This window comes from Homo sapiens, chromosome 12 (genome assembly GCF_000001405.40).
Source record: "Homo sapiens chromosome 12, GRCh38.p14 Primary Assembly".
In the NCBI taxonomy this organism is placed as follows: domain Eukaryota; kingdom Metazoa; phylum Chordata; class Mammalia; order Primates; family Hominidae; genus Homo; species Homo sapiens.
The window spans coordinates 40,983,993-40,999,494 of record NC_000012.12 but is presented as its reverse complement, the minus strand read 5'-3'; the positions used below and the strand labels follow the sequence as shown (position 1 = coordinate 40,999,494).

The following is a 15,502-nucleotide window of genomic DNA, read 5'->3' as shown; positions in this document are numbered from 1 at the left end:
TCAGCCCTGCAGAAATGGGGACTTGGCCAAAGCATGATTTGTTTCAGGGAAGTAAATCACCCTAAGTACAAGGAAGCTTAAGTTTAGGCTCCAGTGCACTTAACAGGAAACAAACTAGACATTCTTTACACAATAAATCATTAAAAAGAATTTAAACTATTCAGAAAAATTATTGAATTATTAATCATTTATTAATAACATGTATAATTTTACTGTGAACGGTTAAAAATAGTGAGCTGCTTTAACTTGTCCTTTTGTCTTAATTTCTATTTAATAGTAATTCCCTTATGATGCTTATAAGAGTGCTTCTGTATTTCAGTCATAGATCTAAAAATTTTTTTTAAAGAAAATCAAGCCAATGCCATGACTATTCTTTCCCATGAAAAGAAATTAATGCTGCCAATTTTCCTTTCAGATCTGAATGCTTAAATAATTTGCATATAAGTATCTCTTTGGGCTTTGATGTTTTATTTAAGAATGTACAAATTGGCTTGTGACAAATCCTAAATTATAAAAATTATAAAGTATATGAAGATAAGCTCTTGATTGAAAACATATTGACTACTTTAATTCTTGTTAATTATAACTTTAACTTATACAGTCATTTTTACAGATGAAAAGTTAATCATGAATGTAACTTTTTACTTTAACTTGCATTGGAATTTCATGGTGATTTAATACAATTTTTTTAGTAAGAGATTCAACATGGTTATGTAAATAGTGCTCTAGTTTGGAAAACCAAAAGGACTGAAGTCTAACACCTGCATTAATTCTATATTTATACATACATTCTTTTTTATTATACTTTAAGCACTTAAGTATATAATTCTGAAGAGCTATCAAAAAAATCAAATGAACTATATAATATTTTAATATTAAAATGAGAATAGTTCTTTGCAACTCTTCTGAGCGCTTGCTCTGATAGAGGAGTGGATTGCTAACACCCCTAATATAATCCACCATGTTAAAATGATGTTCCCATTGTAGCTTAAAAAGATAGAGGGTCACAGATAGTTATGTCTCATCAGATAGAAATTGTAGGTTTGTTTATTGTTATAGGCCTTGTTTTCAAACAAGAAATTTAAATAGGTGAAGCAGAATGAGTTTTTAGTTGCACAATGAAATGATAATCTAAGAATAAGTCAGTTGGGGAAAATGTTTGGATGGGCAGAAAAGAATTCTTTACATTAAAATTATAATTATCCACAGTAAAATTCTTATGAAGAATCCAAACCAGTTACAGACTATTTGTTTAAATTAAGTTAAAAAATGACCGCTTTCTTCTTTCATCAGTATATGGACAATAGCATCGAATGTATATGTTAAACTTGTTTTCAATCATCAAAACACAATGTATTTGGCAATAGATTCTTCTAAATTATAATATGCAAATCTATTGTTGCCTTGATCACTCCTTTTTTTTTCATCATCCTCAATTAACTTCCAATAGCCCCAATCATCATCTTACCCTCCTGGTTTCTCCTTTTTATCTTCTACAAATATTTTTGAGTACCAACTATGGACATTGTGTTGTGTGAAGCACTAAAGATAACAATATGAATAAAATCAGATTCCAGTACTGGATATGATTTTCTCATAGTGGTAAAAAATAAATATGTACAACTAGTTTTAATTCGATATGTTAAATATAAAAGTTTGCTGAATGAATGATCTCAGCTTAATAATACACACATCTAGAACTTAGAAGTTATTTTCATATACTTCATCTAATTGGATACCCAGATCAGCATCATGGAGAATTGGCATTATCCCCTCTCTTAATAGGAAAGGCAAATGTGTCCCGAATACACTAATTAACTTGCCCAGATTATACTGCTTACATGTGGAGAAGCTGCCATCTTTAATTCAGGTCTTCAGATGGCTTAAAAATCTATCCTCTTTGCTTCTTTTAAAGATTTATCTATTTAAGTATTAATGACAGCAACTAACATCACATAGTACCTTACCAGCTATAAAATATTTTCTTAGTTCTATTCTTCTCTTTTATCAAATATGTGTGAAAAAGAGAAAGAAAAAAGAAAGAATGAGAAAGAATACTAAATGAAAGAACAACAGACCTTCATTAGGCATGAAATCAAGGCTTTATACATAATATGAAAGTGTTGTTCCTGGTTTTATTCTTTTTTCTCTTTCCTTTCTTTGACTGGCTTGATCTGGCTAATAAAGAAAGCTGTTAAAACAAACCTGAATGTACCATTTTAGGATGTGGACTCACCAACTGAACCTGCAGAGCTATTAGCCATGGGGGCATGTCTTACAATGACACATTATTTCAAAGGGTACTTTTGTTATCTCTTTTCTACAGTCAAAATTAAATGGGTTAAAATGAATTACAAATACATCTTCTAATTTTTCATTTGGGAGCATCCATTTTATAATGCACGTGTCTGAATCCAAAGAATGCACCCAAGTGTGCGCTGAGATCTTAACATTAAGTAATTGGACAGATAAGGGCATGTGTGGCATTGGATAATGTCATGTCTTTCAATCAGCATAATGAGGCTGGGGACCAACCTTTCCATCAAATGGGAACCAGCCTTTGTCCCACATAGCATATGCTGGCATCTCTTAGAGAGTTGTTATAATGGTACACGACAAGACAAACATCCCTCATTTAGAAAGTATTTTTATTTTCTTATAAAAATGAAAAATGTAAATGTCCAATTTGATGCATATTCAATTTTAATAAAGCAAGTAAATGGCAAAACAGTAGAGAAATTCTGTAGAATTTTATATCAAATACATAAAATGACTTTTAAAAGATTATTGAAAATTACATAAAATTATATGATCTTTCTTCTATGCTTATAAAAATTGGAAATGTATTGCTAAATGGGTAATCCATTACAAAGTAGACAGGAGACCATATTTTCTTGTAAGCATATTAAATTTTTAAAGGACATTTAATAGCATAATAAATAAATTTTATTGAGCAAATACTATGCAGTGCAGTGCTAACTGCTTTCCTAATATGTTTGTAAACATAAAAATCATCCCTTAAGATAAATGATTCCCATTTAGAAATGAAAAAAGTGAGACTCAGGCCAGACCCGGTGGCTCATGCCTGTAATCCCAACACTTTGGGAGGCCAAGGTGGGTGGATTGCATCAGCCCAGGAGTTCAAGATCAGCTGGGCAACATGGAGAAACCCAGTCTCTACCAAAAAACACACAAAATAGCTGGGCGTGGTGACAAGCCCCTGTAATCCGAGCTACTAGGATGGCTGAGGCAGTAGGGTAGCTTGAGACCTGGAGGTCGAGGCTGCAGTGAGCTGTGATTGTGCCACTGCACTCCAAAAAAAGAGCCACTGAACTGTCTAAAAAAAAAAAAAAGTGAGGCTCAGAGGTTAAGTAATGTGCCTCAAATTACATAGCTTTTAGATAATAATGCGGGCATTCCACCAAAGGATCAGTGGCCCGGAGCCACAATACTGCCCACTGTCTTCAGAAAGTGGTTTAGGAGCAAAGCCTTTAGATGAGAAACACCTAGATTTGAATCCCAGCTCTGCCTCACATTAGCTGGGTGTAATCTTAACTTCCTCATCTGTTTCATAAAGTTATTGTGGGAATTAACTTAAGCAATGCAAACAGAGAACTAAGCACTGTGTCTGACAATATACTGCAAATGTGTAAACTATAGTAATGAGTTTATTAATCAAAGATCTCAAAATATTTTCTGATGATAGATTAACAAATGTGTTAGAAGTTACAGAATTAATTTTTTTTTTACAATTGAGAAGAATGAATCATCTCATATCACTACAAGGTTGTATCTTACTCTGTGAATAGGTGTGTTTGCTTTTGGCCTTGGCTCTAATGGCTTGTAAGGGAAGTTATTTTGTAAGCACATCAGATGGGGAACTAAGTCCTTAACAAAATACCATTTGAGAAAATGTAAGAGGTGATGCCTAAAGAAGGTGATGACAAAAATAAGTTGGTTTAAAGTAACAACTGTGCCTTTAGAGCAGGAAATACTCTATTATTTTTTCCTTCTCCCCTATATCACTAAGGAAAAATGTTGTTCTGATTCTAATGATAGCTCTTCTTTTATTATTCCCTATATCAAAAAAAAAATGTAGCCTCTCTGAGCTCATTTGACTAGGACTTGCCAAACTTCAGTGTTTTAGATGGTGTAGAGAAGATTTTAAATGAATGGCAGAGTTCCATTAAAATGCTACTGTGATCTCTTAATATCACTTCTCTACATTTCTGTTTACCTCAGTTCCTTGGCCTAACTTCTAAATATAGTTATGAGTTCTAATGTCTTTAAACAGGGACTGCTATAAGTAAACTATCTCTTAAAGTTTCATGTAATTTAATGTAATTTATTAGATAAAAAAGGATAATTCTGAAATTAAGGGGCCAAAGCACTAAAATACTTGGTCTATGTTCAATATTTTCACATCCATTTCATTTAATCCTCATAATAACATTTTGACATAGGTAGTCCTATGCTCATGTTCATTAATGGGCAATAAACTCAGAGACACTAAATAGTTTATCTAAGTTAATATGACTAATTGCAAGATTCAGAATTCAAATTTAGATCTGACAGCTGTTCTCATACATTGAGTTTTCTCAAAGTCGGCTTCTCAAGCAGGATTCTAGAAACACATCTATTTATATGAATCTTTATTAGAGTTCTAATAGAAACTTAGATTTCAACCTTAACTATGATACTAGATATGACCTAAACACTAAATTTTTTGTGTTAGCATATCCACCTACAAAATGAACACTAGTGTTTGCTTTTCTCTACCTCACAGAAATTTCATCAGGATATGTAGGTAATCTAAGATGAAGCTTTATAGGAGACAGATACCACATAGCCAGGATTCTTGTGTTTGGTTTTTATTATTATTCCCTAGAGCTGCATATGTTTGTAATAGAGGCTTCTGTATTATGGACCGAACACTGTTGCTCTTTCTTTAAAAACAAAAATATAAAGAAACTGTGGCATGATTCCACTGGTGGTTTACCTATGTAATTTTATACTGACAGATCATGTATTTGATTTGATTTAACAAGCATTCACTAAAATTGCAGAAAAATACTAAGTGATTAAATTGGTCTAAACAAACATCTCAGGTAAAATATTTTTACTTACCTATCTCAAATACAGACCTTTAATCATGGAGTTTAATTAATTTTCTGTGATTTCTTGACTAATACAATATGACCTAAGTCTTAGCTGAACACCATTCTTTGAAGTAAAAATCGTCAGAGAGAAAGGATACTTTCTTTGACACTGATAATAGATGTAGGCCTCCCTCCTTCTTTCTTGGAATTTTGTTGCAAATATTATCTGTATTATTTATCTCAGAAAATGATTTCTTTACAATATATAGGCTCATCATCTAGACATGATTACCATAAGATCTGTCTTAAATTATTTTTTAATCTCAAAGTAGAAGTGACAACATTAAATATTTTTTAAGAATAATAATAACAAAAACAATGTCTCGGAGAGATTCAATCTAATTCTTTCATACCTAAATGTCTGAATATAATTTATACTTAAGATCATATCTAGAGCTGGTTCCACGGGGTAATGGTGAACACTCTGGACTCTGAATACTTAAGATCATATCTAGAAGTGATATGCTCACTATCAGTGGTTCGCATGTAACTCTGAAGAATATTTACCATGATGTCTACTTATCCTTAAATGTTAGGAAAAAATTATTTCCAAGTAATATCAAACCTAAAATTTTGGCACTATTTAATTGCAGTTGGTATTTACCATAAAATATCCACCGACTTGGCCATTCAGTTATAAATGAGTTCGAGAGAGACACAGAATTATGAACCTTCTAAATCATGAAACATGTTTAATCAAGCAAGAGTCTGCCTAGTTAAGATTCAGAATTTACATTAAAGTTTATAATCTAAATACTTACGTCATTCCAATGGTCTCCAGTGGCATTTCAGTAGTTCCTATTCACCTCTTCCTCTATATTAATTCTTAATTAATATATTCTTAAACTTCATATTTCCTCTTTTGATTTTTGACTGTCTTAAAATATTCTTAAACTTCATATTTCCTCTTTTGATTTTTGACTGTCTTGATAGTGAAATACACACACATGCTTTTCAGATGAATCACTTACCTCAGAGCATTATTTTCAAATACATTCAACCATATATGAAAGTGGCACTGTATTTAGAAATCTTTTAAAATTTCAAGTTTCTTGTATATACATACCAGCACCGTCTGTTTTAATTCTGTTAGATGGTATACTGGGCTCTCCTCTACCCAGTGTATTGGTTGCTACCACGCGGAATTCATACTCCATCCATGGGATTAAGTCCACTGCTCTTGCTGCCTCCATATTTCCTTCAATAATTGGGGGATCTGAATAAAATAAATAGTAAATAGAGAATACAGGTTGATTAACTTATCACTTTTATAACTTCCCTTTTTATTTTACTATTTCAGGGAGAATGGTATATATTACACTGAGTTGAAGTAAAAACTACAACTAGGAATGACAAAATGTTAAATTCAAGGGAGTAAGAGAAGAGGTTTAATATATAATAAACTTACAAAGAGTGATATGCATATGAATCACCTATGTAAGTAAGTTTGAGGCAGGGAGTCTGCAATTCTGCATGTCTAACAAGCCTCCAGGCTTGGTGCTAGTCCATGAGCTGCACCTTGAATAGCAAGGAGCTGTATTCTGAAGGTGCAATCTAAAAAGATTTCCTGAGATAAAGGTACAATTGGAGCAGCAAAATTTTATGTATTGCCACTGATATAGTCTATGGCTAGCAAACGATTTATAACTAGGTAGAAAAGGTTAATGTTTATATCCTTTTTACTTGGTTTTATAGATTTATACTCAAATCATTTGGACAAGTGATAATAAATGTCATAATAATTTTATTAAGATTTGTTAAGTATCCCTCAGAATTCATGCTACTAGATACTAATATAGATTAGATGATAAATTATGGGTGGAATGTGATCTTAGCTTGCTTATTTAATTGAGGTATAATAAAACATGCAACCAAGGTAGATCTGTGCATTATTATAAGCTTGCCTCAAATATTTCCACGAGTTTTTAATAATCAACCTATCCATATAAATACCTGTACCTGTAGGCTTGTCTATGACGCAATATCTTATCATTTAGGGAAGTTTTATCTGGCAATGTAGACCATGAATACATAATTTTTAAAGATGACGTGTCCATCAACACAATAAATGCTAAGCACCCCAGGGTCCAGTTTCTACTTTTGGACAAATTCTCGCATGGCTCAGACTGTCCCATCTCACCCTGCCATAATTTTAACTCTGCTAGACACTACTTTTGCCATCTAATTTCTTATTTTGTTATGGATTTGTTCTGTAGATTTGACATATATTTTTGACTTTCTGATTAAAATTTTCCCTTTACCTTCGCCTCTGTTTTGATTTATTAAGATTCATTAAGGATTTCTACCTCTTTATCTCCTCTTTCACTCCTCCCTCACACCAAATCGGAAACTGTTTGTTTTAATTCACATGCATAAGGACATTTTTCTAGGTAATTGAAAGAAGTAAAGTGAAGTTTTGGTTTGTGAAGGGCTGTTTACAGAGTGAAGTGATAACTGATAACGCTGAGTAAGGTAGCCTTTTTGTTTGTTTGTTTGTTTGTTTGTTTTGAGACGGAGTCTCACTCTGTCACCCAGGCTGGAGTGCAGTTGCGTGATCTCTGCTTACTGCAAGCTCTGCCTCCTGGGTTCACGCCATTCTCCTGCCTCAGCCTCCCGAGTAGCTGGGACTACAGGCTTATGCCACCAGGCCCGGCTAATTTTTGTATTTGTAGTAGAGACGGCATTTCACCGTGTTAGCCAGGATGGTCTTGATCTCCTGACCTCGTGATCCACCCACCTTGGCCTCCCAAAGTCCTGGGATTACAGGCGTGAGCCACCATACCCGGCCAAGGTAGCCCTTTTTTACTGGACACTTTTCAATGATTTTAACCCCTTATAGAAAACAGGCTGTATTGGGTTAAATGGTACCTTTCTCCACCCAAAAAATGTCCATGTCCAAATTACCAGAACCTGTAAATGTTATCTTATATGGAAAAAAAAAAAGGCTTGGCAGACCCTCAAATTAAGGTTGTAAGTGTTAAGAATCTTAGGGTAGGATTATCCTAAATTTTCTAGGTGGGCTCTAAATCCAATGACAAATGTCTTTATAAAAGAAAGACACAGAGAAGAGTCACACCTAGAAGAGCAGAAGGCCATGAGACCACCAAGGTAGATATGAAAGTGATGTAGCCACAAGCCAAGGGATATGTGGAGCCATCAGAAGCTGAAAGAAGCAAGGAATGGAGCCTTTGGAGAGGATGCAGCCCTGCCACCACCTTGATTTTGGTCTCCAAACTATGAGAGAGTAAATTTCTGTTGTTTTAGGCTAACAAGTTTATGTTAATTTGTTGGCAACCCTAGAAAACTAATACTGAACCTTAAAGGCAGAAGCTGATGGAGCTATTTGTGAGTTTATAATTCTTGAGTTTGGCAGGGGTTGAGGGGTGTACAGTACAAAAGTGTTTTAGGAGGCTTGAGGCAGTCTGACCTGCTCCCCTGCTTCCTAGTCCCAAAACTCCAGCACAATTTAAGGGTTTTAAGGATGGAAATGTTGGAAGCATTTTAAAGAATGAGGATATTGTGTTCTTATGATAGTCAAGGCTACACTGGGGCTTTTCCAGGAAGCTGGGAGGTCAACAGGTAAGGGCAGGTATCTGCTAGGACAGACAAAGAAGAACCAGGTGGATGTGTGGAGAAGCTGCAGTTGATTGACTGATTTTGAGTGCATATAAAAAGTGTGAGGATCCAGTATGAAAATATCCCAAACAAATGGAAGACATTTTCATAAAGTAGAAGATCATAGTTGACCACCAAAAATATGTGAAGGAATGATGGTAGGTAAGGCAAGAAAAGTCAACAGGAGTCATTTTATGCTAGATCTGGATTCCAGCTGAGGAGCCAAGGCTTTGATTTTAACGAGTGAGATGAAGAAAGGAAGAATAAGCAACCAGACTCAGAGTCATGACCTCAAGCAGGTGGACCCTAGGAAGAACCCCTTGGTCCAAAGACGCATAAAACTCTCTCAAAGGGGGAAAACGAAGTGCAAGTTAAGGGGATGGAATTCCAGAATGGACATTCTGAATTATTAAGGAAGGAATTTGCTGTAAATATTTAAAAATAGTATTCCCACCAGGATTACTAATAGCTTGACAACTCTTCTTTTTAGAACAAACCCAATTATTCTTCTTCTTGATAATTTATATTAACATCAGTACCTACGAGAATACAAATATCTAAAACAAACATGTTTTGGTAGATAGTTATAATATCCCCTCAATAAAACCATCTATGTAAGTAGTAGGAATAATTTAGCAAAAACATGATTAACGTCTATCATTTTTAAAAGATGTACCAAGAATTAAAAGTGTCTCTTCTCTCTAAGCTGCTTTCACTTCTGCAAATCTCGGTGGCACTTCTGACCCCAACCACATCAGAAGTACATAATTTAAAACACTTTCTGTCTATTTTCCCAGCTCTTATCTTGAGCTAAGTAGCCCATATCATCACTACAAATGGAACTCCAAGACTGGCTAGGTCCACATGAGGCCCACACTCAATATACTTCTTCTGTCTCCCCCTTGCTTGTTCCTAGCTATCATTTGTGGCCATGTATACATTTCTTCTACTTTTTATTCATGTTTTGAAACCCCTCAGGGCCTAGTATGCCCAGCATGATGTTTTACAAATAGAAGTACTTAATACATTTTTGCTTAAAATATATATGTAATACAAATTCTAAAGTTTGTGTCTATTTAGAGTGGACAGTGTCTCAATGCAAGAAGCATAGCTTTGTCTATATCAATCACTTTAGTGTCTTCTCCATCCTTGAATCAGGCAGGTAAGAGAAGGAGGGCACTGTTTTACCTTGCCCCACCACATAATATCCATCACTCCATGACTCTATATTGTCATGTATTCAGCCCATAAATTGTCCTGTCCTGTCTAAAGCAGATAGTACTACTCTATCTTCTTAAGGCCTCTTCCTTTCCCTTCAATTGTGAGTTGATTCTCATTTATCTCTTCCACTGCCGCTTTGTATGCTTTTTAAAAACATGGTTTTACTTTTAAAACACATTTTATATGTTTTATTGTGAGCCCTAAATGTCTTCATAAATGGACTTGTACCTAATGCAATCTTCTTTCCTATTCCTTAAGCCCTGGTAGGAACTATTGGATCCTTTTCTCTTCTTCTCTTTCTTCTTTTTTTACTGCTTCCAAAATCACCTATGCAGTTTGGGAGCAGAGGCCTGCTCCCTAAAGAAGTCAGCTTTGCTTTGGAAGCAGATTTATGCCTCAAGCCAAATGAAGAGAAACAGGAACGGAGAGACTTTGTGTCCTTTTTCTTCAGCCAAGTTCCTTGCAACCTGTTTGTTATTCTTGGAGCCAGAAAGAGAGTAAAGTACTTTGCATAATGGAGGCAAATACTGGGGATGGATCAGGAGCAGACCTTGTTCTAGACCTGATTTTTAACCGGGTCAGTTCTGAGTCAGGCAATACAGTTAATCTCAGCAGTGAAAAATCAGATCTTAACAGTATAATGCCTGTTAGAGGCATCTCTCTTTTAAAAAAAACTAAACTTTGTGTATTAAATGGGTAGTTCTTTAAAAATTTGTTTTACTTTTAGTGTAAATTTTAAGCAAAGAGATATAAAGCAGGAGACCTTAGTTCTTACTTTAGTACTTAGGCCAAAGTACTCAGTTTAGCAACCAGCTGTAAGCAATAATTCAAAGATCTATTTACAAATGCCTTGAGGCCCTAAGGCTTAGAATAAAAAGAAGTTTCCACCATTCTTTGAGGAAAAGAGAATCAAGCCTCATGGGTATCATAAGACCAATAATTCATTGTGTTTTAGTTGCCTGGAAATCATGCTCGTGGTACCCTGCCTTTAGAGCACACTGATTAATTGTTTGAGCAGCTTTGGAAACAGCCAGAATGACTTCAGGACTAAAAAACAGATTGTGTCAAGAATAACTCCAGCCAATGTAAGCCCCTCCATTGTAGACTTTTACAAGTTACCTGAGTGAGTCCTGGTATTTCTTTAAGATCCGAACACAAGCAGAATCTTTGATGTCCCCCATTTCAATCTAAAACCCAAATATTTGTAAGTACGCAGAACAAACCTACTCACTCAGAGATTCTAAATAAAAATTCAGGTGTCTGTTTGAGACTGGAAATGAGAATTTAAAGGCTTCTCACTGGTTCTAACGCACCTACTCAGTCTTATGTTACAGGTCCTAGACCCAACCCATGGATCGCCTGGCAGGACTCTGGAAGGAGCCATAGGTTAGGCAAATTTCCATGAAGCAAAAGTAAAGCAAGCTGTGTTCTGGCATCTCAGAAGGTGTGAATCCTTGATCCTTCTCTAAGGGAAATACGAATGTAGCCTCATAAAAATCTAGAAATTCATGTTTGAAATGAGAACTACAAAAACTGAAGAAACAGAAAGGCAAAAAAAAAAAAAGGATACTGTCCTACAATAAACCTAGAGAGTTTTCATTTTTAAAAAGATAATACTAATACTAGGTAAAGATATGGCAGAAGAGATACTCAAATACTGATGATGGGAATAAAAACTGGTTCTACTTTATTGCAGAGCGATTATATAATACAGCTCATGGGTTTTGGCTGTTTACACTCAACAATTTAATTTACAAATATCTATTTTAGGGAAATAATCTAAAGTATAGAGAAACATTTATGTGCAAAGATGTTAACTGCAGAAAAATTTTAATAATCAACTCAGTCTTACATAACACAGAAATTTAAATATAAACATATTTTCTTCATGTTGCATAATCTATTCCAGGTTCTCTTAACTATTTCTCATAGCATGGTTACTATGCCTCTTCATGTTCTGGCCAACATCTTCTTACATACACACACACCATCACTAACAATATTCTATCATTTGTCCGCTGAAAACAACAGCATAGAATCAAACACAATTTTCTAACAACGACCTGAGCATCTTGTACAACTCCAGGAACAGCATCAAGCTGTCTGCTGTCCATCTGCTAAAAACAGTCCAAGAGAAGTAAAATTTACAATAGATTGCCTTAAAAGTACATAGTCTATTTCTTCATCTCATTATTCTAAATTTAATCTTTGGAACACTGAAAATTGATATCTTTGAAACATATTTATTTCATATCTTAAGTATTTACCTTCATGAAGCTGAATTTAATCCTGTACCTTTGTTTCCTAGTGGTCACATTATAAATAAAAACCATATGATTTTTATTTCTGTATTTGTTGCAGAAAATATTTTTCACTTCCACTTAGGATGCAGTCACAAGAGAACTTCACTAGTACACTAACAAAAACAACACATAGATAATCTATAAACCACCATCTTTCAAAGCCCATTAGAGAGCTGAGTTTGTGAAGACACAATGGACTAAAATTCATCATTGGTAGAACAGTGATGAAAGAAGGTTGTAGTCACAGATGTTAGCAAGAAGAAAACAGTTTAACTTCTAACAGATATTTACAGACAAAGTATAGGCTGGTATGGCTGTTTAAAAACGTGGGGAGATCAAAGAACAAGGAGAATCTATAGTAATTTGACAATTATTTTTCATAGGCCTTCATCATGTGTACTCAAGAAAGTTTTGGGGCAGAACAAAAGAGCCAAAAAAGACTTCCCTCTGCGGCACCGATACTACAAACATGAGATAGTGGCAGGAGTGCTGAGAGAGATCTGCTTCCCCTTGAGGGACAGGTGCTTTGGACCTGTTGAAGTCTAAGGGAAGAGAAGGAGAACTGAGTAAAAAGCCCGAGCACTCTGGGCTTTAGACTGATTATCAGCAGCAGGTATCTGGGCAGAAGCAGGGGAACTGAAAGAGCCCTCTGTGGGGTCCAACGTAGAAGAGTCTGCCGAAATCTGATAGCAGGACAGGAAAACCTCCAGACACTCAGATATGTAGGAGGTCTGATCATACATTCGAATTACTTGAAGCCTGTGCTAAACTGAATCTAACAATGCTCAGATCATCTCAACTACAAATCTGATTGACTCAGTCCCTAAAGTAATGACATGCACTTTCCCAGACATCAATTAATATTTACTTTAGTAATCACTGTTCTTCTATACACAATGTTTGGAATTGAGCAAAAAGTTATCAGACACATGAGCAAACAAAGAAATATGACCCACTGTCAAGAAAGAAAAAATAAATCAACAGAGCTAGACTTTAAGATGGTCTAGATGTTTAAATCATCTCATAGGGTTTTAGCATAACTATGTTAAGTATGTAAAAATGTCAAGTGGAAAACATGCACAACTTGTATAAACAAATAGGAAATTCCCATGGAATATTATGTGAACAATATTAAAAGCAGCCAAATGCTAGAAATAAAAATTCCTGAACACAATAAAGCAGAAGGTCAAAAGTATTTTAATGGGATTATTCACAGACCGAATCCAACAAAATAAATTATCTATGTAAGCAAGAGAGGAAATTAGCCATTATCCATACAGAAACACAGACACGCAGATAAACAGACACATGCGTGCGTGCACACACACACACACAGACACACACACACTGTCCATTATCTGTGGAACAACATCAAACAATCTAACATATGTGTCAAGAGAAACCAAGAAGAGAGAGTAGAGCAGAGGAAATATTTCAAGAGGTAATGAATGGCTAAGAATTTTCCAAAGTTGAAGAAAATATCAACCTAAGAATACAAGAAGCCAAGCTCCATTAGGATAAATGCATTTTATCAAGCTGAAAAGCAAATACAAAAAGAAATCTTGAAGCAGTCACATAAAAGGGACATATCAAGTGCAGGGAATTATGATTAAAACAATAACTGACTTCTCACCCAAAACAATGGAGACAAAAGACAACAGAACAATGTTTTTAAAGTGATCAAAGTAAAATGAAGAGCAATTTGGATTTTGTATGAAATAAAAATAATACTTAAAGATGAAATTAAAGACATTTTCTGATAGAAAAAATGTAAAAACCTTTGAGTCCAACAACCTGAACAATTTGAAATGCTATAAGTTTCTTAGTAATGCAAATTATACCAGATAAAAAAAGAGTTTTACAGAAAGGAATGAGGAACCCAGATATAATAAATATACTGGTAAATATAAAGGGATTTTGAGACACTTTTCAGCAAATAGAATAGAAAACAATCTTCTCAGCCTAAAAAAGGCATCTAAGATGACATATTCAAAGCAGTGAAAAAGAAAAGAAAAACAAAAACTGTCAACCAAGAATATCATATCCAAGCAAATATATTTTAAAACCAAAGGCAAAATGCACTCCTAGATAAACAAAAACTGAGAGAAACTGTTAGTAAAAGACTTATCTTACAAAAAAAAATTAAAGTTCTTCAAGTTGAAAGTAGTTGATCCCAAACAGCAATTTGAATAAACTCCCCCAAAATAATGAGCATTGGTAAAGGTAATTTTGTAATTATAAAAGATGATATAAATACTTATTTTTTCTTCTATCTTCTCTTAACTTATTTAAAAGTAATTGTAGAAAACTATATATGTATGTATATATATTCACACATATGTTGTGCATTTATATATGCATGTATATATATAATTGTCTTATTGGATCTATAATATATTTAAATGTAATATATTTGATACTAGCTGCACAAAGGGGACAGGTAGGAGCAAAGTTGTAAAGAAATCATATCAGATGGTGATACATAGTTGGTATATTTGTCCACTCTAAATCTCATGTTGAAATTTGATCCCCAATATTGGAGGTGGGGCCTAATAAGAGGAGTTTGGGTCATGGGGGTGGATTCCCAATGAATGACTTTGTGCCTTTCTTCCAATAATGAGTGAGTTCTTGCTTTATTAGCTCATGCAAGAACTGATTGTTACGAAGAGCCTAGCACCTTGCTTCTCTCTTTGTTGCTCCCTCTCTCACCATGTGACAAGCCAATTTGCTTTCACCATGAATGAAAGCTTCCTGAAGCCCTCACAAGGAGCAGATGCTGGCACTATGATTCTTGTATATCCTGCAGAACTGTGAGCCAAATAAAACTCTTTTCTTTCAAAATCACCCGGCCTCAGATATTTCTTTATAGCAATGCAAAATAGACTTAGACAGATGAAATTCAAATCAACATGAACAAGTGAGGAGGATTAGAAGTAGTAAATATAAAGGATAATATAACAGACAAATTAACAAAGGATAATATAAACATATTGGTTTAATAGGCAAACATTTATAGAAAGTGATAATATTAATATAAGATTATTGGGTTTGTGACATATAGAGATGTAATATATATATTTATATATATTTCACTGAGTATAAAAGTGTTTCCCCTAGATAGCTTTATTTCATCTTCCTCTTTTGTGCGTAATATATTTAATCCTCTGTGTGTGAGTAATATATTTAATAATATATTACTAAATA

The 15,502-nt window shown here is 34.4% G+C and overlaps 1 protein-coding gene across 6 annotated transcripts in view; it reads right to left on the bottom strand.

Annotated features, from left to right (window-relative positions):
- CNTN1 (contactin 1) overlaps positions 1 to 15,502 on the bottom strand; it is a 379,977-nt gene that overhangs the window by 72,921 nt on the left and 291,554 nt on the right. For all 6 annotated transcript variants that reach the window (XM_011537926.4, NM_001843.4, XM_005268651.3 and 3 more), the window contains one exon: positions 6,226 to 6,375. In XM_011537926.4, coding sequence (XP_011536228.1) covers positions 6,226 to 6,375 — 150 coding nt within the window. The remainder of the gene's footprint in view (positions 1 to 6,225; positions 6,376 to 15,502) is intronic.